At 39.1% G+C, this 27,170-nt stretch overlaps 3 long non-coding RNA genes across 3 annotated transcripts in view; 2 read left to right on the plus strand and 1 right to left on the minus strand.

Moving 5' to 3' along the window:
- LOC124905982 (uncharacterized) overlaps positions 1–27,170 on the minus strand; it is a 69,911-nt gene that overhangs the window by 12,552 nt on the left and 30,189 nt on the right. The gene's annotated exons all lie outside the window — the stretch shown is intronic.
- On the plus strand, positions 1,755–10,682 carry LOC105374435 (uncharacterized). The gene is made up of 3 exons (XR_939930.4): positions 1,755–2,061; positions 6,146–6,250; positions 10,585–10,682. It is a non-coding gene; the product is annotated as an uncharacterized LOC105374435 (long non-coding RNA).
- LOC124907750 (uncharacterized) lies at positions 10,711–13,619 on the plus strand. Its single transcript, XR_007086269.1, has 2 exons — positions 10,711–10,800; positions 13,330–13,619. It is a non-coding gene; the product is annotated as an uncharacterized LOC124907750 (long non-coding RNA).

The raw sequence follows: 27,170 nt of genomic DNA on the forward strand, positions 1-27,170 counted from the left end.
CAGGAGCTCCGTTCTCAGACCGTACCCTCTGGCCACCTAGAGGCCCCTACTCTGCCACCCCATCGAGGCCTGTTCTGGGAGCGCTCCCTGGTCCCTCCTCTCCTCTCCTTCAGATACAACCCTCTTCCCTCAGTGCCGTTAATGTGAGGGGAGTGCACTGATGTGGAGGAGTCTTTGAGGGAAGATGTGAATTGCCATACCCTCCTTTCACTGTGTGCAAATAACTAATGGTCTTAGGTCAAGTTCCTTGAGAAACAAACTCTGAGAAGGAGGTTTATGTGCAGCAGGCTTATTGGGGAGTGCCAGTGGGATCAGCATCTAGGAGGGAAGGAAGACAGAAGAGCTGGATAGAGGGAGGAACTGGGTAGACCTCGCAATACAGGCTGTTGCAACAGAGGCCTTGGCTGATCCCATGGTTAGCTCTGGATGACCTCTCCAAATGTCCCGCTTTCAGGCTAGGGGGCGGGCCGTTTATATTCCCAACATGGATGGGTAATTGTATGCCCGCTGCCTCTGGGGAGGAAGCTGACCCTGGACGAGGCGGTTCTCTACAGTTCAGGGAAATGAAGGGTTACGGCAAGGCAGGGACTCAGCTGAGAGCGTCAGTTGTCAGCACGCAGAACCTGTGGGGCATCGGCTACCTCAGTCCTGCATGCGACTCTTCCTGTCACCCCCCCATCATCCACACCAACCCACCCTGGTTTTCTTATTTTTTGAGGCAAGCTTGCCAAAATGAACAAACGCCAATTTAGTTACCTAGAGAAAGGGAGGCTTCTCAGGACCTTGAGAGGCAGCATGTGTGTGATCTAAAAACTTTTGGGGTGAGATTAGAATCTCAGGTTGGGCTGTTACTGAAATTATTATCTTAGGCAAGTCGCTAAAATCTTTAGGCCTCAGTTAATTTGTCTTTAAAATGGGGCTGATGAATTAGCAGAGTGGCTGAGGAATAAAAGCAGCAATGTGGGCAGTATCTGGGACATGGGAGTGTGTGTGAATGCAGGCTCCTCCTGGGCTGGGCCCTGCCCACCTGGGGTCTGTCCCCATCAGACCCCACAGAACACTCAGGACAAGACTGAGCCACTTCTCTCCAATTCATGCTTCTCTCCTGGTAGCCAAGGTGCTGAGAGAACGTTGGAAATGTCCCTGGTGGGATGTTGGTCCTGGACCAGATTCTCAGATTTCCACTTCTCTCACTGTAGTGCCAAGAAGTACCTTGGCCAATTTTCCTTTAAGAAGTGGCCAGGAAGGGAGTTTTGCAACTTGAGGCAAGTGTTGTAAGGGTAAAGGAGACCCCTCTTTGGCCTGAAGAAATTCCAAAGTCAATGTGGAGAACAACCCCGAGTGGGACTTCTGCATCATCAGTAGTGATCCCAGTCTCCCAAATAAATTTTATTAGAAGGCTGATTAACAACCAGCCTTGGCAAAATGCTGTGAGAATATCAAATGCAAAAAAAAAGTGGGACTCAAAATAATATATTCAATATGATCTCAGCTGTGTTACACAATGTTTTAGAAAAATTCTGGAAGCAAAAATGCCAAGATGTCACAATAATTGCCTCCGTATAGTAAGACTGGCTGATTTTTCTTCATGCCTTCTTTACACATTTCTATCATTTTAAATCTTCCTACAATGAGCAGGGGTTGGGGAAAGAAAAGGAAAAAGAAAATGGAAAATGCACTCCCAGCCGTGAGAGAGGGCATGGCAGTGTTTCCCACTGGTCTCTCCCACAGATGACGCCTGCAGAGGTGCGCGAGGCTGGGTGTCCATCTCACTCACCCAGCCTGAAAATGTCTATGTGAAGAAGCGTAAGCAAAACAGACACTTGTGCTAATCACTGTTCAGAGCTTGGCTGCTGAGTGTTTTCTGGGAGCTGCATTGTCAGTTGAGGGCTGCCCGCTGCGTGGGGTGGATTCCCCAGCCCTCACAGGATAATTTTATCACAGAGGACAACATTTGTAGTTCTGCATGAGTGGCTCTCCTGGCGAGATAAAGAAGAGACAGTGAGCTGAGGCTGAGGCTGAGAAGGCTGGCATATGTGATGTCTTCGGGGATCGGAAGCTGTAAGTAGCACAGAGGGACACACAGAGGCCTGTGGTGGTGGAGGAGGGGCTTGACGGGTCCTGGTAAGTCCTGTCTGTCTTCAAAACCTGCTCCCCCTCTGATGGCTTCCTGCCCCTTCAGTGCCTGTGAGCCTTGCCTTGGGACCTGTGGGGCACATGCCATGCCACTGGTTGCCATGTTTTTCAAACGTTTAACCCATTATTGAGAGAATCCTTAGTAGAAAGCCAAGCCTATGGGGAATGGACATCAAATGGATATGTTTTCATGACAGGGAAAATAAATGTTAAGACTAGGAGATTTTAGAGCTGGAAGACAGTCTTTTTTATTTTTTGGACAGAGTCTCACTCTGTTACCCAGGCTGGAGTGCAGTGGCATGATATTGGCTCACTGCAACCTCCACCTCCCAGGTTCAAGCAATTCTCTTGCCTCAGCCTCCCAAGTAGCTGGGACTACAGGAGTGCGCCACCACGCCTGGCTAATTTTTTGTATTTTTAGTAGAGATGGGGTTTCACCATGTTGGTCAGGTTGGTCTTGAACTCCTGACTTTGTGATCCGCCCGCCTCGGCCTCCCAAAGTGCTGGGATTACAGGCGTGAGCCACTGCGCCCAGCCTGGAAGACAGTCTTAAGATCACATTGTCCTAGCCCTTTGTTTTGTAGGGAGGAGTTGAGTTCTAGACAAGTTCATATGAAACCTTGATTTGACCCCTTTGAGTCCAGACCAAGATTCTGCTTGTGTTATGGGTTGAATTGCATTCCTTCCCCACCCCAAGAATTATGTTGGAGTCCTAACACCCAGTACCTCAGAATGTGACCTAATTTGGAGAGAGGGTCTTTACAGAGCTAATCAAAAATATAAGATGATCCAGAAAGGCCCTAAATCAACATGATTGGTGTCTTAGGAGATTTCTAATTTAGACACAAAGACAGGCATGTACACAGGGAGAACGTCATGTGAGGACCGAAGTTAATGCTGCCACAGGCCTCTTACTGAATGGAGGAGAGAGGCCTGAAACTGATCCTTCCCTGGCACCTTTGGAGGGAACGTGGCCCTGTCAACATCTTGATCTCAGACTTCCAGCCTCCAGAATTATGGGATAATTACTATTGTTTAAGCCACTCTGTGTATGGTACTTTGTTATGGCAGCCCTATGAAATTAGTACAGAAAACCTCATCAGAGGAAGGATTTACAACCTTGGCTGTATAGGAGAAAGCACATCTATGAATTCTAATAATCTGTGCCAACTCTGTACCTCATGATTATTAATAACTGAGAATGAACAACTCACAGTCAAACTAGATCAAACTTGAAGCACATTTGGAAACTCAGCTGATACCCAAGGACCTGAGAAACCAAACATTGTGATTCAGTACAAGCTGGGCAGAGCAGATCTCTTGGGAGGCTGCCCTGTTCCCTAGAATGTGGCTGCCTCTGGGCGAGGAGAGAAGAACTCAGGCCAAGGTAGAGACCTAAAAGTAGGATTGTGGCTGGGAGAGGTGGCTCACGCCTGTAATCCAGCACTTTGGGAGGCCGAGGCGGGTGGATCACAAGGTCAAGAGATAGAGACCATCCTGGCCAACATGGTGAAACCCCGACTTTACTAAAAATACAAAAATTAGCTGGGGGCAGTGGTGCATGCCTGTAGTCCCAGCTACTCGGGAGGCTGAGGCAGGAGAATCACTTGAACCCGGGAGGCGGAATTTACAGTAAGCCGAGATCGTACCACTCCACTCCAGTCTGGCGACAGAGCAAGACCCTGTCTCAAACAAAAAAAAAAAAAAAAAAAGAAAAGGAGGATTGCATTCTTTTTCTGTCCCTTCTTGAATCTCAAAGACAGGTGTCATTCAGAGGCCTAACAATGATTCCAGTGCCATTGACCAAGAAATCAAACTGAACCAGTTTGATTCAGTAACTGGGTATGTTAGCATGAGACATAGGAGAGGGGCTTATGGAAGGCAAGTGACAGATCAAATGCAAGAAATACAGTTACTTTCTTTTTTTCAACTGAAGTTTTTCTTAAATCCCTTCAGTCCAACACTTGAATTCTTTTTGTTAGTAAGAAGTGAGGTTTAGGGACACCTTGTCAGAGATGCTATCTGGCTAGAACCAATCTTGGAGACAAGGGGTTCAGACCACGTTTGCTTTCACTCCTTTCCTTCTTAAGCTTGCGCATTGCATCTGTAGTTCACAAAACAGTGAGGGGCTCCTGGATTAGAACTACCTTTTTCCCAGATCCCTTTGTCTCCAGGAAAGGGATCTGAAATTCCAATCTGTTGACACATTGCCAAACACAGTGATTTGGCTGGCAAAATGCCGTACCACAACTGTGGAAAAAAATTAGCTCTGATGATTGAAAAGCAACGTGGAGCTTGAGGGTTTATCTCCATGAAGGGGCATGTGTGGATATGATGGTGCAGAGCTCTCAGAGCTGACTTCTGAGCCCAGCTGAGGAGCCCTGGCATGTAAAATGGGAGATGGAATAGATTAGCCATATTTAAATGTGTTTCTTCTCTCTTTTTACATCAGTGGAATTGTGTCTTCAAATCTTAATTGGAAGCTCAAATAAATAAATAATAATAAATGTTTAAATGAGTTGCTTTGTTTAAAAAATGGGCAAAGGACTTGAGTAGACATTTTTTCCAAAAAAGGTATACAAATGGCCTATAAGCACATGAAAATGTGCCTAACATCTGTTACATCAAGTTTAGCTTAAAGCTGCCTCCTTACATATTTTAGGTTTGGCCTAAGGGTTTTTCTATACATCCTGAACTATAACAAGTGGAGGTGTAAACAGACTGTAGCCTGCACTTGTGCCAATCACTGAATTTTGGCCAAATGTAGCCAACTGTTCAAACAGTGTTGAAATAAGGCAAATGCTGAGCTGTAACCAATCCAGCTGTTTCTGTATCTCAGTTCTGTTTTCTGTACAGTTGCTTTCCTTTTTCTGTCCATAAATCCTCTTCCACCACATGGCTGTGCTGGCTCACTCAGAAGGCTGCCTGATTCACGAATCATTCATTGCTCAATTAAACTCCTTTAAATTTAATTCGGCTGAAGTTTTTCTTTTAATAGATGGTGTCAGAAGTGGGATCAGAAATAGAGCTTCTAATGACCCTCCAGGAGTGCTGAGTGACCAAAGTGAGGTACCTGCAGCACCCGTTAATCTCTCCGGGCAGCTAGGGATCAGGATCATGATAAATTATCTCAGATTTTGGAGCTTCACAAATTTGTGTTATGAGCTTTCTGAGTTTGAGCAAATTTCTGATCCAAACTGGGCTTGGAAGTTGCCACAGAAACTGGACTGGGTCCAGGATCGGATTTGACTGGATTGGATCCAGTTAGAGGCCTCTTACATCTGACTGGGTCAGAAAGAAACTGGTAGTAAATGGTAATATTGTAGGGGGTGTAAAATTTGGCTTTTGAAAATTTGCAGGGATTTGTGTGTTCTATCACTTTGTTTCATTTTTTCTTGGTAGAAAAAAAAAAAAAAAGCATTGGCTAAGTTAATCAAGGAGACCTGAGTGCAAAGCCAATATCTTAGGTAAAAATGGGATCCTTAATTTCTGAAGAACTGAGTTCCTCCTGGCTTACACATCCATAAGTGTTAGGCCCCAGAAGCAGTCAAGTCTTAGAGAAATGGTGAAATCTTACTAAAGATAACTTAGAGTGGAATGTTCCAAATGAACAAAACTGCACTGAAGTGCATTTAAAAATGAGGACTCCCAAATTAGTCTCATCCAGGGATGCCTATTGATATGCAGAAGCTTCTAGAAAGATTTTAATATTTTTATTTAAAAACTTTACGAAAGGCAAATAAAAAGCTTAAGTGGCAATTAGTTTAAAAAAAATTAAATCTGCTAACCTTTCAGCTTAGTTACAATCCCAATTCAAAGGAAATAGACCACAGCACCAATTGACTGGCTTTCGGTAAGTAATGGGTCAATTTTACTTGGGTAAAGAATGGGATTGTGTTAGAGGCCCTCCCCTCAGGAAAGTTCCTCTTGGTTAAAAATTGATTTGACACTATGGGATGTTTACTGCTATTCTCTTTGGATTAATCTGCATTGTACTCTTTGCTGATAGCTGTGGATGACAGGATTAGGCATGTACAGGACCATGGAACAGCAAGCTGAGCCACTAGGGCCCTCAGGGAGGAGAAACCCAGAAGCCTGACATGCCAGCAAAAGGGTAAGAATTTCTTACCAGTCAGACTCTGGCCTTTCTCTCTCTCTGTGCAAATTGGTTGAATGAACGGTAAAAAATCACTGTTTCTCTCCTCTGTAAAGTTTTGATTAATGCAGAAAAGGATTCTGAGGCTAGTCTTAAGTTGTAGCGAATCTGGTGTGCCTTGAGTGTCATTCTGTATGGTTCTGTCACAAAGAGGAGTACCTTAGGATAGAACACGGGCTTAGGACCCCCATAAGCTCACTATTCAAGATGGCCCAGCAAGCTGGTCAGTAACAAACTTTGCTGCAGATCCCTGAAACAAACAAAGAACTGGATGAGCTTTCATCTTGGTTTATGTCCTTGGGAGCTTGACCTGGTAACCACGTGGCAGTACTTTCTCTTGGTCTCTGCCATCTAGGGAACAGGAATTTGGGGGTTTATGTCATAGTTAGCTCTAAAAATTATCTTTAGTTAAAAGCAGTGTAAGCTCAAAATTGACTGCTCTAGACTCCTTCTGGAAAGAGCAATGAAAGCTGCCCAATGCTACTTAGCTCAGCAACTAAGGCTTTGCCATTTTACAATGGCAGCCCCGGGTTCAGTCCTGGGTTAGGAATGAGTGCTTTCTGGTTGATATCTGCGTGGCTTTTACCATTTGTTGATTCTCTTCCCCTCCATGAACAATTTCTAGCTTCCCTTAAATTTTCCTTTCTCTGAGCTACTTTTGAAGATTCTAAGTTTTATAAAAACTGCTTAATGCCTCTTTGAAAATACCTCATACACTGTGGTTAAGTCATAAGCATAGTTGAGGCTTGTTGGTTTCACTTGTGAGGTTACTTTTGGTAAAGTTTAAAAGCCAGAAATACTGGCCATTTGGCCTGGTTAAAGTAGGGTAATAAGAATTTTAAAAGGACATTTTTTTTAGAGAGCACCAAAGTCAGCTTAATTAAAAGTCAATATCCAAGCTATATGTATATTTAAAAGGCCTTTATGGTGTTTCTTCTCTTGGATCTTACTTTTCTGAAGAAGAAAGGTTTCTTATTTCTTCTCAGTTGACTTAATTATTTTTCTCCATTTTTGTCTTCTTGCCATTCTTAATGCACACATAAGACGACCTAAGATAACTTCTAATAGCCTGGGACTCCTTGAGAAAAACAGAAGAGTTGCCATAGACCCCATTTTGGTAAAAAACCTGTTTTCTTCATGGAACCCTAGGAATTGAAAGTGGATAGATTCCTCTCAAAATCTAAGGCTCTGTTCTGTTTCGCATTTGTTATTTGACAGTTTTGAGTTTTAGAGGTATCAGAAGTTACTTTGCATTATGAGAGAGGTTTGGTGTGTAATAATTAGGTAGGAAATATACTTTAGGGATGGCTAATGGCATTTATGGGGGAATATTCAGCTCTTTGTACCCTTGGATCAGGGAAGCATGCTCTTGGCCACCTAGAAGGATGGCGATATCCCCACCCCAAATTGAGAGATAAGACTCCCTTGGGGTAAGCAGTGGTTGTAAAATGGGCTAATTGGCTTTGGGTTGCCATGAAATGAAATGCACAGTAAAAGCATTGCAATGTCTTCTCCCATAGCATTTCCCTTTTTGGGGGGATCCAGGATGTGATATAAAAGTGGGATGCTTAATTTTGGAGATCTGTTTTTTACTTCCAGCTGTGTCTGCTTATTAGGCCCTAGAAACTGCATGCTTTCCTGGCCCTATTCCTTGAAGGGCTCCACCCTAAAGCCAGTAATCCAATTAAGACAAACTTAAAAACTGCCAAATGAAAAACCTTACAACTACTGGATCTTCTTCTGTGTATAGTTATATACGTGTTTTTTGTGTGATGTTTATATAAAAGAGCTCTAATTAATTGGCTTAAAGAAAAACAAGCACTTAAATCACTAAAAACATTTAGTCTAAATTAGGCAGGTCAGATATTAGGTTTGCTAAATGCTTTAAGGTCATAAACTACTTCTTTGACTTTTGAAGATTGTTCAACTCTCCTGTCTTACAGCTAGGTAAGGCCTGAGGACATTGGGATTTAGCCATGCCCCTAGCTATTCCAGAAAGAGACAGACCTTATCTGTACTTCTGTCTGGTGTCCTAGGCTCCAAGCCTAGTGCATAATTAAAATCACTTACTTAGCAGGTTTTTCACCAAAAATAAAAATTGCTAAGATTTAACATTGTAACAGGTAATTAAAACTGCTGAAAAAACATGCAAGTTATGTAAGGAAAATAAAATGTGTTTTTAGTAAAAGATTATAAGAAGGCATGGGAATGTAAATTTTTGCCTAGTTTAGAGGGTTAAAGGATTGTTTTAAATTAGGATAAAGCTAAAGGTTTGAACAAGTTGTGAAAGATTTCTGAAAAATTAATTGTAAAAGATTCTGTGTATGAATACATTGGCTAAATTTAAAGGAGTACTATGCAGTTTTTTCTGTAAATTGAACATTGGAATGAAAGCACACCAGGGTTTTCTTAGAGCATTTATCTGCTCTTTAACAAAAATTTTTCAAGGGTTGTAGAAGGTTTATGAAAATCTCACCGTATGGTCAAACTGATTAAGATTGATAAATTTGTCTATAAGCTTTTATTAAAGATTGGGGTTAACATTAATGGTACACTAATGGCGGGGCACAGTGGCTCATGCCTGTAATCCCAGCACTTTGGGAGGCTGAGGCAGGCAGATCACCTGAGGTCAGTAGTTCAAGACTAGCCTGGCCAACATGGAGAAACCCCATCTCTACTAAATACAAAAATTAGCCGAGTGTTGTGGTGCATGCCTATAGTCCCACCTACTCAGGAGGCTGATGAGGCAGGAGAACTGCTTGAGCCCAGGAGGCAGAGGTTGCAGTGAGCTGAGATCACACCACTGCACTCAAGCCTGTGCAACGGAGTGAGACTCCGCCTAAAAAAAGAAAAAGTACACTAATGCAAGGGTAGAATTTGGCTTTCTCTTCTCTCTTAAACAAGAGTTTCATGTAGTATTAAAGGATAATGAAATATTTTTGTTTGCCTTTTGAATACCAAAAAAAGAAGGGGAAGACAAAAGATAGATTGTTTGGAAAACTGTCTTCTATCAATGAGTAAATGTTTTTGCCTTTTTAAAATTTTTGAGACATCATTTTGGCTAAGTGAATGACTTACAGTAACCTGGATTTTTATTTCATAATATCAAGTGTTTTAAACCTTTAACATATTTGATAGGCTTCCTGAAATCAAATTTCAGCTTTAAAATTATCTTTTCTGACCTCTAACTTTGAGATGCTATAGAGGGTCCCTGAAGCATTCAAAAGAGAGGGAAACAGGATTATTTGACATGTTAAGTTACATGGGAAGCTTTGTCAAAATAAAAATTAATGTTTAACCCCCTTCAGTTTATATTTTAGTGAATATTAGTATATGTTCCAAAATTATATGGGATTTCTAAAATTTTAATATGTCCAAGTATATACTATCAATCATAATTATGGTTATTAAGTTATTGTAAACCACAGAAATAACCAAATTTCTTTGTCAATTGTGTCTTTAACTGTGACTACTTAAAGTCAATTCACAGTTAATTCCTTAATGCTGATGCAGTTTCTGAAAACTTCACCAGCATGCAAAATCCTGGAATATGGTGTCTTTTAGGAGGTTCATGAAAGGATGGAAAGGACCCTGAAAAGTACAAGTTTCTGATAACTTTAAAATCATATCATTTGGACTGGGTAAGAATTCCTAGAACTTTAATGAGAAGACTGACTGGTTTATAAAACGGCTAACCCAAGTAGAACAAAAATTAATTGAATACCAAGAAAATACTTTGCCAGATTTTTATGCTAAATCAGCTGATACTGAAATTGTTCAGATATACAATTTAAATGAACTCCATGATCTAAGTTAAATTACCTATGATAAACCATCAGTCATCAGTGCTATGCACCTAAACTGGAGAAATATCTGGTATTCAGGAACACAAAAGTCCAATGTTAATTAAGCACGGCCTCATGGAGAACCAGGACAGCTGCCTTGTTCTTCCTGAGTTCTTAGAGCTTTTGTTTTTAAAGGTCTACATTCTCTGACTCATCATGGAAAATAAAATAATTTAAATTAAATATATATTGGTGCGGTGACTTCTAAATTGAATAGTTTATGACTGATGTTTAGTTTATTGACCCATATTCCTGGGAAGACAATCAAAGCTTCAGGTATATTTTGCTATCTGATGGGCCATTTAAACATTTCATTCATTTATTCATTGAATTTCATTCAATTATCATTTTCAATGCTTGTTTTCTGGTTGTATAAAAGTTGTTTTCCCATGCAAGAGGGCTGATGTTATAACAGTAGATTATTATTCCACATTATAATTTCACCAGGTAAAGAAAGCTTTTATGGTTCCCTGACTGAGGATAATCAACCCCTTCATAATTTAGAATCCAAAGATTGGATCTTCTGAGAACATCAGAGAAAGACTGCCCTTGCCATCCACACTGCAACAAAACTTCAGAACCTTGAACCTTGGGTTCATAATCTCACAACAAAGAAGGGTCCCTCCATGTTCTTGGAGCTGTACACCCATTGGAACTCTTAAGGTAAAGCTAACCAGGGAAGTTTCTCCCCAGAAGATGGGATCCTTAATGTGAACAGCTTTTCCCAATATCACAGATCAAGATTTCTCTACTATCATGAGACTTTTATCTTTGAATATTTTCCCTTCCTTATGCCTCTATAAACACTAGGAGTGAAAAGGGGGTCTGTTGTGTACACTTATAGGGTATGATTTTATTTGTGAAGGATTTTGCAGCCAGCGTTATACATGGATAACTTTATACCTTGATGGATGACAGATGAGGGACCAATGTAGGTGAGAAACTTTAATGGTACATACATTGCCTCCTAATCAGTCAGAAATAAAACATTAGTTCACTCCTCTTAATCCACATCATAAGTTAAAGAGAATATTGCCAGGAGGCCTTCATTCTTCTAGAAGGGCATCATTTGTTAGGTCCTTTTTCCATGGTTTGGAGTAAAAGAAGCAATGATTTAAAATGTATCCCTCATGATAAACTCTATAGCAGATTCTACTGTAAAGGCTATAGTTATACAACAGAATTTAAATTATCTTGTGAAAGTTATGCTAACTAATCAAATTGCTCTAGATTATTTACTGGCTAAACAGAAGTATCTGTGCAGCTGCTGGCACTTGTGGCCTGTGGAGAAATACATCACATCAGGTATTATAGAGATTCAGTTGTAGGGGACTAGCCAAGAGGCTGCTTAGTTAAGTAGGTAGACTCTTTATCTAGCTCATTCTTTGATCTATTTGATTTTATATGGTTTGGTTTATGGGGACCCTGGGTAAGGCGAATACTGTAAACTCTTGGTATTATCCTCCCAATAGTCATAATAGTAGTCTCCCTGGTGTGCTATATTCTCTCAAAGGTTTTAAATGTTTGCGTGCAGCCATCTCTAAAGGGTCAAATGGTCTGTCTTCAACTGGCATGACAAGATCTGAAAGAAAAGTGTGATCATGAGGACACCACAACCTATGAATGACATGCTGAGACTGGAAACTCAAAATGATGGTAACTGAGAGTGCTGCTAAGGTCCTAAATTTTGGTTACACTCTCACCTAAGAGAACCTGAACAAAAAAGGAATTTTTTTAAACAAAATTATGAGAGGCCATTGTTTTGGACTGAGCTTATGCACTAGGCCCCAACAGACCAAACCAAACCAAAACAGAGTCACTAGTGCTAAATGTGACATAATCAAACTAAGACTTTAAGGAAACACATAGGTCCTAGAATAGACCAGGTTTTGTTTTTCTCCTGTAAACAGGACGTTCCAGCATAAGGAGATACCCTCTCTTCAGTCAGTCCTTGTCCCCACTTTGCAAAACCCACTGTTCTACTGTTTCCCAATGAGTTTCAAGACCAAATAAGTATGTTTACGACGATGATAGTGACATTAATGACTAATTTTTTGGCCAATCTCTCAAAATTGAGATGACCATCAAACAAGGGGAATTGTTAAATCAAGTTCAGCCTAAAGCTGCCTCCTTACCTATTTTAAGTTTGGCCTAAAGGTTTTTCTGTACATCCTTAATTATAACAAGTGGAGGTATAAACAGACCATAGCTTACACTTAAGCCAGTCACCGAATTTTGACCAATCAAATGTAGCCAACTGCTTGAACCATGTTCAAATAAGGCAAATGCTGAGCTGTAACTGGTCCAGCTGTTTTCGTTTTCTGTACCTCACTTCTGTTTTCTGTATGTCACTTTCCTTTGAATCTTCTTCCACCACATGGCTGTGCTGGAGTCTCTGAGCCTACCCTGGCTCAGAAGGCTGCCTGACTCACAAATGGTTCATTGCTTAATAAACTCCTTTAAATGTAATTTGGCTGAAGTTTTTCTTTTTATCACTTCATAAGCCACTAGAGAAATGCAAATCAAAACAGCTAGATCCTACTTTACACCCATTAATATGAGTATTCCCCAAAACAAAACAAAAATAAAAACAACCAAAAACCAGAAAACAACAGGCATTAGTGAGGATTTGGAGAAATGAAAACATTTATGCACTGTCAGTAGGCATATAAGATGGTAGAGACACAGTGGATAACACTATGGCAGCCACCCCCCAAAAATGGAAATATAAATACCATATGATCTAGCAATTTTACTTCTGGGTATACCCAAAAGAATTGAAAGGAAAGACTCAATCAAATATTTGTACAACCCATGTTTACAGCAGCATTATTAACCATACCCAAAGGATGAAAGCAACGCTAGTGTCCATGGATGGGTAAATGGATAAATACAATGAGGCAGACATATACAATGGAATATTATTCAGCCCTAAAAAGGAAGGAAATTCTGACATATGCTCCAACATGGATAAACCTTGAAGACATAATGTTAAATAAAGTCAACCTTTCATAAAAGGACAAATACTGTATGATTCCACTTATAGGAGGTACCTGGAGTAGTCAATTTTATGTTACATACGTGTTACCACAATTTTTTAAAAAAGAGCTGCTCTCTTTGAATTTTTAAATCTGTATTTTTAGGTGTTTGATTTTTTAAATAAGATTTTCCCCCATTTCTCACCTACCCTAGACATATGGCCCTAAAGCACCTCAGAAGAAGCTGAAGGAAATCAGCCTCCATAGCTTTCAAGCCCCTGGACTCCTGGAGCCAGAAGTTAATTCACACTCTGATCTCAGAGAAGTTCAAGACCTTCAGCAGAACTTTTCCTGGCCAGGGCATTTTTGCCCCTGAGATATGTCATTAAACACTGTAACCAGGAACTTCTGTTCTTACCCCTGTCCTTCCCTTCACCTTTTATAGTTACTAAATGCAATGTTTTATTTTTCCAAGTACAAAACAATAAAATAGTTATAAAGAAATAAAGAATTCTTAAGAAAATCTCTACATAAAATGAATTTAAAGTCTATCATAAGACTCACCTTAGAATGAAAATAGCTTAATCTTTAAAGTAGGTACACCCTATTCCTGAGAAATACTTATCTGATTAGTAGAGATACATTTCTTTTTGAGTCTACTCACCCCATATAGACAAATGCTCCCATGTCAGATTACCAGGTTAATTGCAGCAGGACCTGTAAATAGTTTGATCTTGACCCTTCCGGGACTTGTATGATTTAAAGCTATGGTTTTTCCTGGTTGTTCCTGAGATAAAATTGGCTACGGACTGTGGGAAAGAGGGGATTTCTCTTGATTTCAAAATTGTATGTGAGAAAGAAACCTCTCCAAGTTTTCATATTATAGATTTTTTTTTAAACAAAAGGTGTGTATCTAAACTTGATGATACAAAGACCTGTGATCTATTCATGTAAATCCTTTGAAGGGGAATTATTTTGTTTTATTTTGTTTGAAGAGATTTTTGTAAGATTTTTCTAGACTGAATTTGGAAGCAGCTGAGAATCTGGCCCATTATGTTTTGATAGAGATATAATATTCAGATTTCCAAATGGGCAATGTTCCATTTCTGAAACTTCTTTTAAAATGTGTTTTTGAATCTAGTTGAGTCCTATGAAGAATCACATGCAGATAACATACTACAGCACTGGTTAACATTCGGGGCTGTCCTTTTCTCAATGTTAGACACTCTTCTTTGGTGATGATGCCAGGTGCTTAGGGAGTTGCCCACATATATAATTCCTTAAATGGAAATTCTATCAATGATAACTTGTTTTGGAGAACATTAATTTGAAGGGAGCTTGCATTCCAGGGATGTAGACTCAGCACTATTCATAAAATTCTTCCTGAAATTAGTTTCTCTCTGTTTTTAATGTGTCTTTCTCTGTACATATATTTAAATGCTAACTGGATTGAAAGGTATTTAGGTAAATGGGGTAAAATGAAATCAAGGAAAGCTTCTAAGAGGAGGGAAGACACATAGACAGTGATTTCAGGAGCAGAGAGACACAGTTCAGCGGTGAAGAAAGGGGAAGGTAGGGCTTTTTAGAAAGTATGAGCCTGGCTGGGCGCAGTGGCTCACTCCTGTAATCCCAGCACTTTGGGAGGCCGAGGGGGTGGATCATGAGGTCAGGAGTTCAAGACCAGCCTGGCCAAGATGGTGAACTCCCGCCTCTACTAAAAATACAAAAAAATTAGCCGGGCATGGTGGCGGGTGCCTATAATCCCAGCTAGTTGGGAGGCTGAGGCAGAGAATTGGTTGAACCCGGGAGGCAGAGGTTGCAGTGAGCTGAGATCGCACCACTGCACTCCAGCCTGGATGACAGAGTGAGATTCTGTCTCAAAAAAAAGAAAAAGAAAAAAAAGAAAGTGTGAAGCCCGTGGATCATGGGTAGTAAATCCATTCCCCTGTGTCAAACAGACCCTGAATCAAACAACATCTGAATGTAGGTAAATTATGATACATGCCCTTGGGGTAATAGTATGAAGCCATTACAATTAATTTCATTAAGACTGGAGTATAGCAGTTGTTCAAGCAATTTAATAACTAGGCAAATGTAGTTTTATAACAATTATGCAAGAAGAAAAAAGAACCTAGGACTTGCAAAACAAAACCTATATTTTCTTCCTTAATCATAGGATAATAGGGTTTTTTTTCATCCTTATTGATTTTTACATTTTTATTACCTATTTCTTCAAGATAAAAATAACTGTTTTACTTGTTTTCAAATTAAAGAGGTGGGGGATAGAGGTGCAGGGCAGGGGCTTTGAGTTTGAGAGAACCCACTGTTTTAAAAAATTTAGATATTTGATTAATTTTCTATTCTTAGAGTTGTCACACAACTTTTATAAAAAGGCAAGATAATTTTGTAGAAGAATAAATTTTAATAAACACTTGATCTAAATTAGCTGTATCCTAAAAATTATAGTAAATTTATATTGGAACACATAGGCAGTACTATTAAATAATTTTTTGAAAAATGAAAATAAATTCAGATAAATTCATAAATGTAAAGATGTGGAGGAAAAAGTTTGGATGGAAATATTTCAAAATTCAGGTTACCTCTGAACAGCAGTGTTATCAGCAACTTATTTTCATCTATGGACATTTCTATATTTTCCAAGTTGTTCATAAAGCATGTATATTACTCTTAAAATTAGTGAAAAGACCTTTTAGCAAATTTTTTTTGTTACTATGAAAAACAGTGTGTTGATTCCTCAAAAAATTAAATACAGAATTAACATATGACCCAACAATTTCACTTCTGCCTATATAAACCCAAAATATATAAAAGCAGGGACTCAAAGAGATATCTGTGCACGCATATTCATAGCAGCATTGCTCCCAATAGCCAATGGTGAAAGCACACAAGTGTTTGTCTATGAAGGTACAAACAAATGATGTGTAGTATATATACACAGTGGAATATTGTTCAGCCCTAAAAAGAAAGGAAAGTCTGACATCTGTTCCAATAGCAATGAACCTTGGAGACATAATGCTAAGTGAAATAAACCAGTCACAAAAAGGCAAATACTCTATGATTTCACTTATATGAGATATTTAGAGTAGCCAAAATCGTAGAGACAAAAAGTAGAATGGTAGTTGCCCAGGAGCCAGAGAGAGGAGATATTGGGGAGTTAACATTTAATGGGTATAGAGTTTCACTTTTGCAAAATGAATAGAGCCCTGGAGATGAACAGTGATGATGGCTGCACAATACTGTGAGTGTATTTAATATCACTGAACTGTACACTTAATAATGGTTAACATGGTAAACTTCATGTTATGTATATCTTACCACAATTAAAATATTTTAATTCAATTTGAATTCAAATTCAGATAACACTAGGAACCCAGATAAAATGATAAAGTTGGTGATGAAGTTGGAAAATGATGTGCCAAATCACAAAGAGCCTTGAGCTCCCAGCTGATCTGTGATGTCAGAGCCGTGGGGAGGAGGATGTGGAGAGGTGGGCTGGGGAGGACCAGTCTGGCCACTATGCTCAGGATGAGTTGGGCAGGATTAGCAGGTGAGAGGGAGGGAGCCAAAAGTTATCCCAAGAATTATGTCCTGGATGCTCTGCCTATGTCTCCATGTTTATGAATAGGGAGACACAGACTAAGAGAAGTGGTTTACCCCATGTCCTAGCACTAGCAGGTGCCAGAGGCCTGTCCTGAGCTCAGATGGATATGACCCCATATCCCTGCTCTTTCCTTCATACTATCCTACCTCCATATATTATAAATGGAAAAAAAGGGGGAAAGTGGTAGGAGGGGAGAAGATGATGGAGAGAATGGAAAGAAAGAAAACAAGAATAAGGAGAGGGAGAGCCAGCAGACAGGATAAGATTCAAAGCTGCAAATAAAAACAAACTTTTAAATAAGGCCCTAAGTCTGCATTGAACTTTTGACAATTATGGTTTGTCAGTATGGTAACTGATTCATAATTATTTTATGGGAGTTTAGCAACTCTATATGTAACTGGTGCAGAGCAGTTGTAGAGTTGTTAATCCTGAATGTTTATTACCCACCATTTCATAAATAGCTTAATAAATCTAAACAAGTCGAATTTATGGGGATGGTTATGGCATTCTATTCAAATTTCAAGCAATTACAATAAAAACACATCTATTGAGGGAAGAGCAGTTTTGTTGTTTTTTTTAAGTTTGATACTGGAGGATGGCTGACACTTGACATCTCCTTGAGCTGGTCTTTGCTCCGTGTCTGGGCCCAGGGGGTAGGGGCAGGACAGCAATCAGAGGCTGTCTTTGAGTTGTTGTCTGCCAAGGAGATGGAGTGAGATACAGGTTGTCATTTGCCAACATGTTTAAGGATCTAAGTTCCTGGTGGTCATGACATTTCAAGGCTCGCCTTGGACCCTGCTGTAGTAGAGTATTCCACCCCCCAGGTTGGGTAGGTGTTGGGCATTTTCTAGAAAGTGAATGATTTGGGAAGGGCCAGGAGCAATGATTTCTCTCCTCATAGCTCCTTTCAAGGTCATTGACTTCTTGGTCACTGCTAGGAGTTCAATGCAGCCTACAATACAGGGTTGTAGGTAGAATCAGAAAGAAGAGAACCCCCGACCCCCGCAACTGCCCAACAAACTAAATGGTATTACTTACCTCTTGATCCATGCATTTTCTCTTACTACTGATACTTTGCCTTTCTTTCATTGTTGCCTATTAGGGAGGCAATTGGTTGAGGGTGATGCAACAAGGTGGGTGGGTGGGAGAGGGAGAGACAGAGAGAGAGAGAGAGAGAGAAAGAAAAGTAAAAAAGGCAAGGGATGAAAAGAGTCGCCGACCTGGCCCCAGCCCGGGCTCTTATTCTTACTGTGTGCCTTGAACAAGTCACTTCTACTGCTGCATCTCAGTGTCCCCTTTCAGTGCTGACATTCTGTGGTTCTGTGATTCAGTGAAAAGGAACAGCAGGTGAATTAGAGATAGCCGAAAGAGGTGCTCCACAGAGGAGGAGCCCTGTCCAAATTGGAGACAAGACTTTACATTACCAAAGATACAAGTCTGACTCTACCTTCTTCCAGCTCAAATGTTGGTTGAGAAGCGACCTCTTCACTGTGAAGTGCAATATTCGAAACTACACATGCGTAAGACTCATTCTCTCCCTCCCTAAGAGTTTGAATCTAGCAAAGTAGGAGATGCTTACTCAGGTAATTACAGCACAAGGAGGTAAATGCAAATAGACATTTTGAAGGAAATGGTTTAGGTGTACAGAGAAGGAAATTTACTTGTTTGAATTGGAGAAGGATGTGTTTAGGTCATCCATCATGGAGAAACTGATATTTAGCCTAGGTCTTCAAGGATGAGTGAATAGACATCCCCCAATAGAAAAGAAAATAGGAGAAGAGCACCACACGTAAATGGAACAGCAAAGGCAAAGAAGAATGGGAGAACATTTATTTACTTGCTATTTGCCAGGTATGTTTGTGATCACTATGGATACAATAGTAAATAAGACAGTCTCTGATCTCATGGAGTTTACAGTCAAGTGGGTGGCAACAGGTATTAAACAAGTATTCAAATACATGAATACAGTGGTCTTAGAAAATGGAGATGTCTGTGTGCCTGAAGTGTAAGGTATGTGGTGGGGAGAAACTGGACATAAACTTAAAAAATATACAAAAGGTTGTGGAGTGTCTTGAGTGTAGTGTATTTTATCCCTTGGGTAGTAGGACACTAACAAAGATGTTGTTAGTGGTGAAACATTAGCTGACTTATGTTTTAGAACTAAAACAAAAACAAAAACTGAGTAAGGAATACATTAGATGGAAAGAGACTGGATGCAGAGAAAGCAATTAGAATGTTATTACTACAATGTAAGAGAAAGATGATGAGATTGGATATAGGACTCTATCCATGGGAATGAAGACAAGGGAGAGATATGAAAAGCATTTTCAGAGGCACGAACAAAATTTGATGACATGAGCAGTGAGCAAGAGAGAGGCAAAGACGATACCATTTACAGATCAAGTGACTTGGGAAATATTTCCACCATTCCTGAAGATAAGAAATACAAAAGGAAGAGGCGCTTAAAGGAAGAGCATGCAATTGAATTTGAGGAGGCTATGGGACATCTAGTAAGTTGACAGAAATGTTATCTTGGAATTTAAGATAAGTCCAGGCTGGAGTTATTGACTGATTTGAGAATCTTCAATTTAGAAGTAGACACAGAAGCCATGGGGATGCATAAGAACACTTGGAATGGAGAAGACGACTATGCCTCCCCAGTGCAAGTCATGCAGAAGGGGATAAGTGAAGAAATTTAGAATGAGTACTCAGGGAGAATGATGTCCTAGAATCAATGAAGGAAGTAAAAAGATAAAGGGGCTTCGTATGAGAAATGATACCTGAAGGCCAACTAAAACCAGGGGGAAAACAAAGAACCATTTAATGATTCATCACTCAGAAGGGTGTTAGAGACTTTAGGTCAAGTAATTTTATTGATTTGCTAGAAGCAGAAGGCATTAAATAAAAGGTTATGATGGGCCAAAAGTCCAGAAAGTAGAGAAAGCAAGCATAGAAAGGACTCCGAGAGAATATTCCAGCAAAGAAGGACTTGGGATAATTGAATATTACAGTCATGACATTCATTCACTCATTCAATAAATATTGCTTGACTAATACATTCTAAACACTGAGCTAGGAGTCATTATAGAGACAGTAAGGTATAATTTCTGCCTCCAAGGTGCTCAGAGTCTTGTAAGAGAGGCAGATGCAAGCTGCAATGAAAGCAATAGTGAAGCTATATAAAGATACAGGTATATGTAGCTCAGAGAAAGAAAAATTTGTTCTATCTGGTGGAGAAGTCAAGAAACTTCCTACATAGGTGCCATAAAGCTATGTCTTAAAAGATAAAAAAGAGTTTACCAGGTGCAAGAAGATGAAATTTATTGCAACAAGTGGGAATGGTACATGCAATTAAATGAAGACAAGAAAAGAATGTATTTTGGCAACCTCAAATAATTTGGCACTGTTGGATCATGAAGTGAGATGAGGAGTGTCAACTAATGTAGCTAAAAGGTAGACAGGAACTAGAACATAAATTGCTGCAGGTGCCATACTTTAGGCTAAGAACTTGTCTCTACCTTGTAGGTAGAGAGAAAAGGTATAAGAAAGAAAAACTTGGGGTTTTGAAAGATCTTTGATTTCAGCTTTACTCTTTATTGATTCATTTTTCCTGATTGGTTTATTTCACTGTTATTTTCCTAGTTTAAAATCGGCACTTGGTCCCTTAATTTTTCATTGTCTTTCTTTAATAATTAAGTACTGCTTTTATAGCATCTTATATTATTTTTGCATGAAGTGTTATATTTTTCATTGGTATGTAGGTAATAAGTAGCTTATTTTTAATTTTCCTCTTTGAAATCAGTTTTAAAAAAGAAAGCAAAGATAGAATAAATAAATAAATTGATTCTTTGAGAAAACCAATAAAACAGACATACCTCTTACAAGCCTAATTAAGTGGGAAAAAGATCATAAAAGTAGACAAGATTAAAACAAAAAAGGAGACACAAGTTCCAGAGTTACATGCTTGAACTGTATAGTGACAAAACTTAAAACCTATATAAAATAAATTAATTCCAAATATAACACACTCTACTAAAACTGATTAAGAAGAAATGGAAATCTTGACTCAATCAATTATTAGAGAAGAAATAGAAAAACTGATTAGTGATCTATTATTGTAAAAGTCACCAGTCGTCAAAGCTGAGCTCTTATATAACTTAAGCACAGGTAATTCCAACGCAATTAAACTAATCCAGATGATATAAAGAAACAAAACCTGCCGTATAACTCCAATAACAAAACCTGATATAGACAACAATGCAGGAAAACTATATATTAAGATGGCTTATTAATATAGATGCAAAGTTCTAAATGAAATATTAGCAAATAGAATCTGTCAATGATCTAAAGAATAGTATATACAGGCGATGAACAATCTGAAAATGAGACTAAGAAAATAATTACATTTATAATATCATCAAAGAGAATAAAATACTTAGGAATAATTTTAACAAAAGTAGTGTAAGACTTGCACTGAAAAAACTACAAAATATCCTTGAAAGAAATTAAAGATCTATAAAATGAAAAGACATACCATGTTCACGTATTAGAAGACTTCATCTTGTTAAGATGGCAATACTACTCAAGTTGATCTACAGGTTAGGTGAGATCTCAGTTGCTCTTTGTGTGCAAATTTGTAAGCTTGTACTAAAATTAATATGGAAATGCAAATTACCCAGAATAGCCAAAACAATCTTAAAAAAGAATGCGATTGGAGGACTTACATTTCACAATTTCAAAATTAACTACAAAACTATAGTGATCAAGACTCTATGTTACTAGCATAAGCATAGACATAAAGATCAGATACATGTTTATCAGAAATAAACATGTATGTTTTTGGTCAATTGATTTTCAACAAGGGTGTCAGTACAATAAAGTGTGGAAAGAATAGTCTTTTCAACAAATGATCCTGAGATAGAAAATGATCCTGGCTATCCACATATGAAAGAATTAAGTTGTAATTCCACATAACACTATTTACATAAAAATTAACTCCCAATGGATCAAAGACCTAAAGAGCTGAAACCATGAATGTCTTATATCTATATTTTTTTCTAAGTCTTCATAATGCTGCATTAAGCCGTAGTTTTTTTTAGCTATGACACCAAAAGCACAATCAATCAAAGAAAAAGTAGATATATTAGACTTCATTGAATTATAAACTTTAGTGCTGCAAAGGACAGTATCAAGAAAGTGAATAGATAGCACACAGAATGAGAGAGAATATTTGCAACTATACAAATGATGAGTCTAGTGTCTATAACATATAAATAACCATTACAACTAAACAATTAAAAGACAACCCAATTTAAAAATGGGCAAAATATTTGAACAGACATTTCTTCAGATAAGATATACACTGGATAATATTATTTCAACACCAGTGTAGGAAAATTAATAGACAAATCAAAATCACAATGAGATAGTGCTTCATGCCCACTAATGCAGCTACACTAAAAAAGATAGACAATGACAAGCATGGAAAAATTTGAATCCTCATACATTGCTGATGAAAATACAAAATGGTACAATTTATTTGGAAAACAAGTAGTTTGGCAGTTTCTCAAAGGTTAAACACTGACTTACTGTATGACCAGTAATTCCAACCCTTGGTGTATACCCAAGAGAACTGAAAATATATGTTTGTACAAAAACTTGTATACAAATGTCCATAGCAGCACTATTCCTAATGGGCCAAAGATGGAAGCATTTAACTGTCTATCAGTTGATGAATAGATAAACTATGATATAGCCATACAATGAACTATTATTCAGCCATAAATAGAAATGAAGTTTTGATACATGGATGAATTGTGGAAACATTATGCTAAGTGAATGAAACAGACACAAAAAGCCACATATTGTAAATGTCAAGAATAGGCAAATTCGTACAGACAGCATATTTGCGGTCGTCAGTGCCTGGAGGAACAGGGAAATGGAAGTGACCGCTAATAGGTACAGGGTTCCTTTAGGGTGATAAATATATTCTGGAATTAGATTGTGGTGATGGTTGTACAACCTTGTGAATATACTAAAAACCAATGAATTCGTACACTTATAAAGCTAAATTTTATGGCATGTGAATTGTGTCTCAATAAAAATTTAGTTAATGTATTTTTGCAAAAAGGATATAACAAAGATAATAAACAATAGTTTTATTAAAATGTTTATTCTGATTGTACCTAAAGAGTTAATTCTCTACTATGGAAATAAATTATAAATTAACAAAACAACTAAATCACAATACATAGAACAAATTATATCAAAATGCAGTTCATAAAAGGGCATATGCAAATGGCATCAAATATGCTCAACTCACTGACAGTCATAGAAATCCAAATTAAAATAACAATGAAACATCTTTTTGCACCCACCAGACTGACAAAAATAAAAAAAGAACTATCATATCTATTGCTGGCAGGGATGTGGGGGAATAAAGAGTACTCTCTTACACTGCCGGTTGCAATAGTCATTTACTTAGCTATTTTGAAAGCTAGCCAATGACATCTATTATTAATAATATTCAAAGTAATATATCCTTCGATCTAGCAAACCTACTTCTGTGAATTTATCTTATATAAATAAAAATAGCAGTTTCTAAAGATAGAAAAAAAACATATATATATATATTGTTGCTGAACTGGTTATTGATGTTTATAGATGCCCCAAACTGAATACATTGCGGCATATATACACTGCAGAATATTATGTAACCATAAAAAAGTATGAATTGAAGAATTCCCAGAAGACTTAGAGAGAACTTCATAGATTTTATTGGGTGAGAAAAGAGAGCTACAGAAAACTATGTATAATCCAATTCCTTTTAAATAAAATAATTAAAAGCAATATATGTATATGTGCATATATATGTATGTGTAAATGTATATATGATTACACTTTTTAATATATCTATAAAAACAGAGGGGGAAAAAGATAACTTTGGTGGTAGATGCTTAAGGGAAGCAATAATAGATAGTACAGAGATCAGTGGGGAGACTCCTGTAACATTCCAGGAAAGATATGATGAAGACCTTGGCTACATCAATGTGGGAGGCCAGGAGACAGAGTATCTCCTGAAAATCTTACTGGGACCCCTCTCTGGGGCTTTCTTTTGGTTGTCAGAGTACTCACATGGCTTTCCTCCTGCACAGTAGGTGATAGGCCTGCTAGTCTCCTGCTCCACTGCCAACCTCACTTTTCAATTTTGGATTCTGTTTTTCTCACAAGGACAATGCAGAATAAAAGCACCTGCACAGCTTCTTTCTACCCCAAACCCTGACCAAGTTGACATCCTAAGCATGCTTTCACATTCTTCTGACATTCTCCATCAATTTGGACTATGGAACCCCACAGAAACAGACAGGATCCATAAGACAACCATAATGAGATCTTCATGGCTTTTTCCTAGTATTTATCTTTGGTCTTTAGGGACAACAATGAGACCCAGCTGTGACCTTCCTTCACCACTATCCTGTCCTCTCATGTTTTCTGTCTTCATCTTCCTTCTGGGAGTCAGCTCCACTACTTACATTCACTGTCTAGGGCTTCTGAGTTCTCCCAGAACTTCATATACTCCTCCATTCCAACCCAACTCTCTTTTCTTCAGACCTAGACCAGAGAGTCTCATATAGGGCATGGGTTAGAATTCTACGGTGAAAGCTTTTCAGATTACACATGGCTGCCACTCTCCTCCATGTGTCATAGATTATGGGAAAATAAACTCTTTTTAATGATAATATTAGGATGGTACTATATACTATCTCCATTTTACAGATTAGGAAACTAAGGACCAATGACACTGAATGACATTCCTAGGATCTTCTGACTGTAGAACCTATACTATTTCTACTGTACTCCCAGCTTTTCAGTAGAACTCTCCAAAGACTCTAAGGAGGTGCCTTTACTTCTCATAAGGACCTCTGGGAGTCTAATGCCCAATAGCTTGTTTTAGTGTTCCCTTATTCGGCAAGCAATCATTGAACTTCAAATATGTGTCAGGCTCTATAGGAGGCACTTGGAGTGGGGGATGAGGAGGTTGGTGGCAAGATGTGGAAATACACAGGTAAACAAAACAGGACATTTGCCTTTGATGAGCTCACAGCAAGTGAAGGAACTAGATCAATAAAAAGAGGCACTTACAATCAATGTAATGGGTACCTTTACAGGCTGGAGGAATTTGGATTTTTTTTTTTAACAGGGTCTCACTCTGTCACTCAGGCTGGAGTACAGTGATACAATCATAGCTCACTGCAGCCTCTAACTCAGGGGCTCAAGCAATCCTCCCATTCCAGCCTTCTGAGTAGTTGGGACTATGGGCATGTGCCACCATGCCTGGCTAGAATTTGTAATTTATCTTACCTAGAGTACCTAAGGCTTCCGGGGAGTAGGTATTTAGGACTCATGATATGGTTTGGATATGTGTTGTCACCCAAAGTTCATGTTCAATTGTAATTCCCAGTGTTGGAGGCGGGGCCTGGTGGGAGGTGATTGGATCATGGGGCAGTTTCTCATAAATGGTTTCGCACCATCCCCTTGACACTGTCCTCACAATAGTGAGTGAGTTCTCGTGAGATCTGGTTGTTTAAAAGCGTGTAGCACCTCCCCCAGTGACTTCTCTCTTGCTCCTGGATGGCATTTCTGGATTAACCCTGGGTCACAGGGGAGCCTACTGCCCTCAGGGGAGAGACTCAGGCCTGGCAGCATTTACCACAGGCTGATGGAAGAGGCCTTGGGCCTTGAGTGAACATTAGCAGTAGCCAGGCAGTACTTGCTGCAGGGTTGGGGCAGTGGTGGCCATGGTGAAAAGACTCCTCTGGTTGAGAAAAGGAGAGGAAAGTGTGGGAAGGACTTTATCTTGTTCTGTGAGTGCCAGGTCAGCTGCAGGGGAATAGAGCACCAAGTAGATTCCTAAGGTTCCTGACTCCAGCATTGACTCCCAGATGGCATTTCTGGACTTACCATGGGCCAAGGGGGAGCTTGTCACCCTGAAGGAAAGGAAACAAGTCTAGCTGGATTCACCACCTGATGACTAAAGAGGCCTTGGGCCTTGAGTGAACACTGACAGTAGCCAGGCATTGGTTGCCACAGGTCTTGAGTGATACCCAGCGCTGTGCCAGCTTCAGATCTGACTCAGCACAGTCCCAATTATGGTGGCCAAAGGGTGCTTGTGTCAGTCCTCCCCCAGCTTCAGGCAGCTAAGCACAGAGAGATAGAGACTGTGTTTGGGGGAAGGGAAGTGAAGAGAACAAAAGTCTCTGCCTGGTGATCCAGAGAATTATCTCAGATCTTACTCAAGACCACTAAGTTTGTGCCTCTATAAGTCTTCAAGAGTCACAGCATTGGGCTTGGAGTGCCCCTTAATGCAAATATGGCTACAGTGACCAAAGATAACATTCAATTACCTTTGAATACACAAAAAGCTTTCCCAAGAAGAATGGTCACAAACATGCTCAGAGTTCAAAGACTACAATAAATATCTAAGTCTTCAATGCCCAGACACTGATGAACATCCACAAGCATCAAGACCATCCAATAAAATATGACCTCACCAAACAAAATAAACAAGGCACAAGTGACTAATTCTGGAGTGACAGAGATATGTGATCTTTCAGAAAGATAATTTAAAATAGTCATTTGAGGAAACTCAAAGAAATTCAAGACAACACAAAGAAGGAACTCAGAATCCTATCAGAAAACTTTAAAAAAGAGTAGAGATAGTTTTTACAAAATCAAGCAGAAATTCTGGAGCTGAAAAATTCAACTGAAATACTGAAGAATACCTCAGAGTGTCTCAAAAGCAGAACTGATCAAGCAGAAGAAAGATTTAGTGAGCTTCAAGACAGTCTATTTGAAAATACACAGTCAAAAGAGACAGAAGGAAAAAGAATAAAAAGAAATAAAACATGCCCACAAGGTCTAGAAAATAACCTTAAAAGAACAAATCTAAAAGTTATTGAATTTAAAGAGGAATTAGAGAGACTGGGGTAGGAAGTTTATTTAAAGTGTTAGTAACAGAGAACTTTTCAAACCTTGAGAAAGATATCAATATTCAAGTACAAGAAGGATTTAGAATATCAAGCAGATTTACCCATATAAGACTGCCTCAAGACATTCAATAATCAAACTCGTAGAGGTCAGGGATAAAGAAAAGATCCATGGGGGAGGTTCCAAGATGGTTGAATAGGAACAGCTGCTGTATACAGCTCCCAGCATGAGCGACGCAGAAGACGGGTGATTTCTGCATTTCCAACTGAGCCTCTGCTGGTGATACCCAGGCAAACAGGATCTGGAGTGGACCTCCAGCAAACTCCAACAGACCTGCAGCTGAGGGTCCTGATTGTTAGGAGGAAAACTAAGAAACAGAAAGGACATCCACACCAAAACCCCATCTGTACGTCACCATCATCAAAGACCAAAGGTAGATAAAACCA

This window comes from Homo sapiens, chromosome 2 (genome assembly GCF_000001405.40).
Source record: "Homo sapiens chromosome 2, GRCh38.p14 Primary Assembly".
In the NCBI taxonomy this organism is placed as follows: Eukaryota; Metazoa; Chordata; class Mammalia; order Primates; family Hominidae; genus Homo; species Homo sapiens.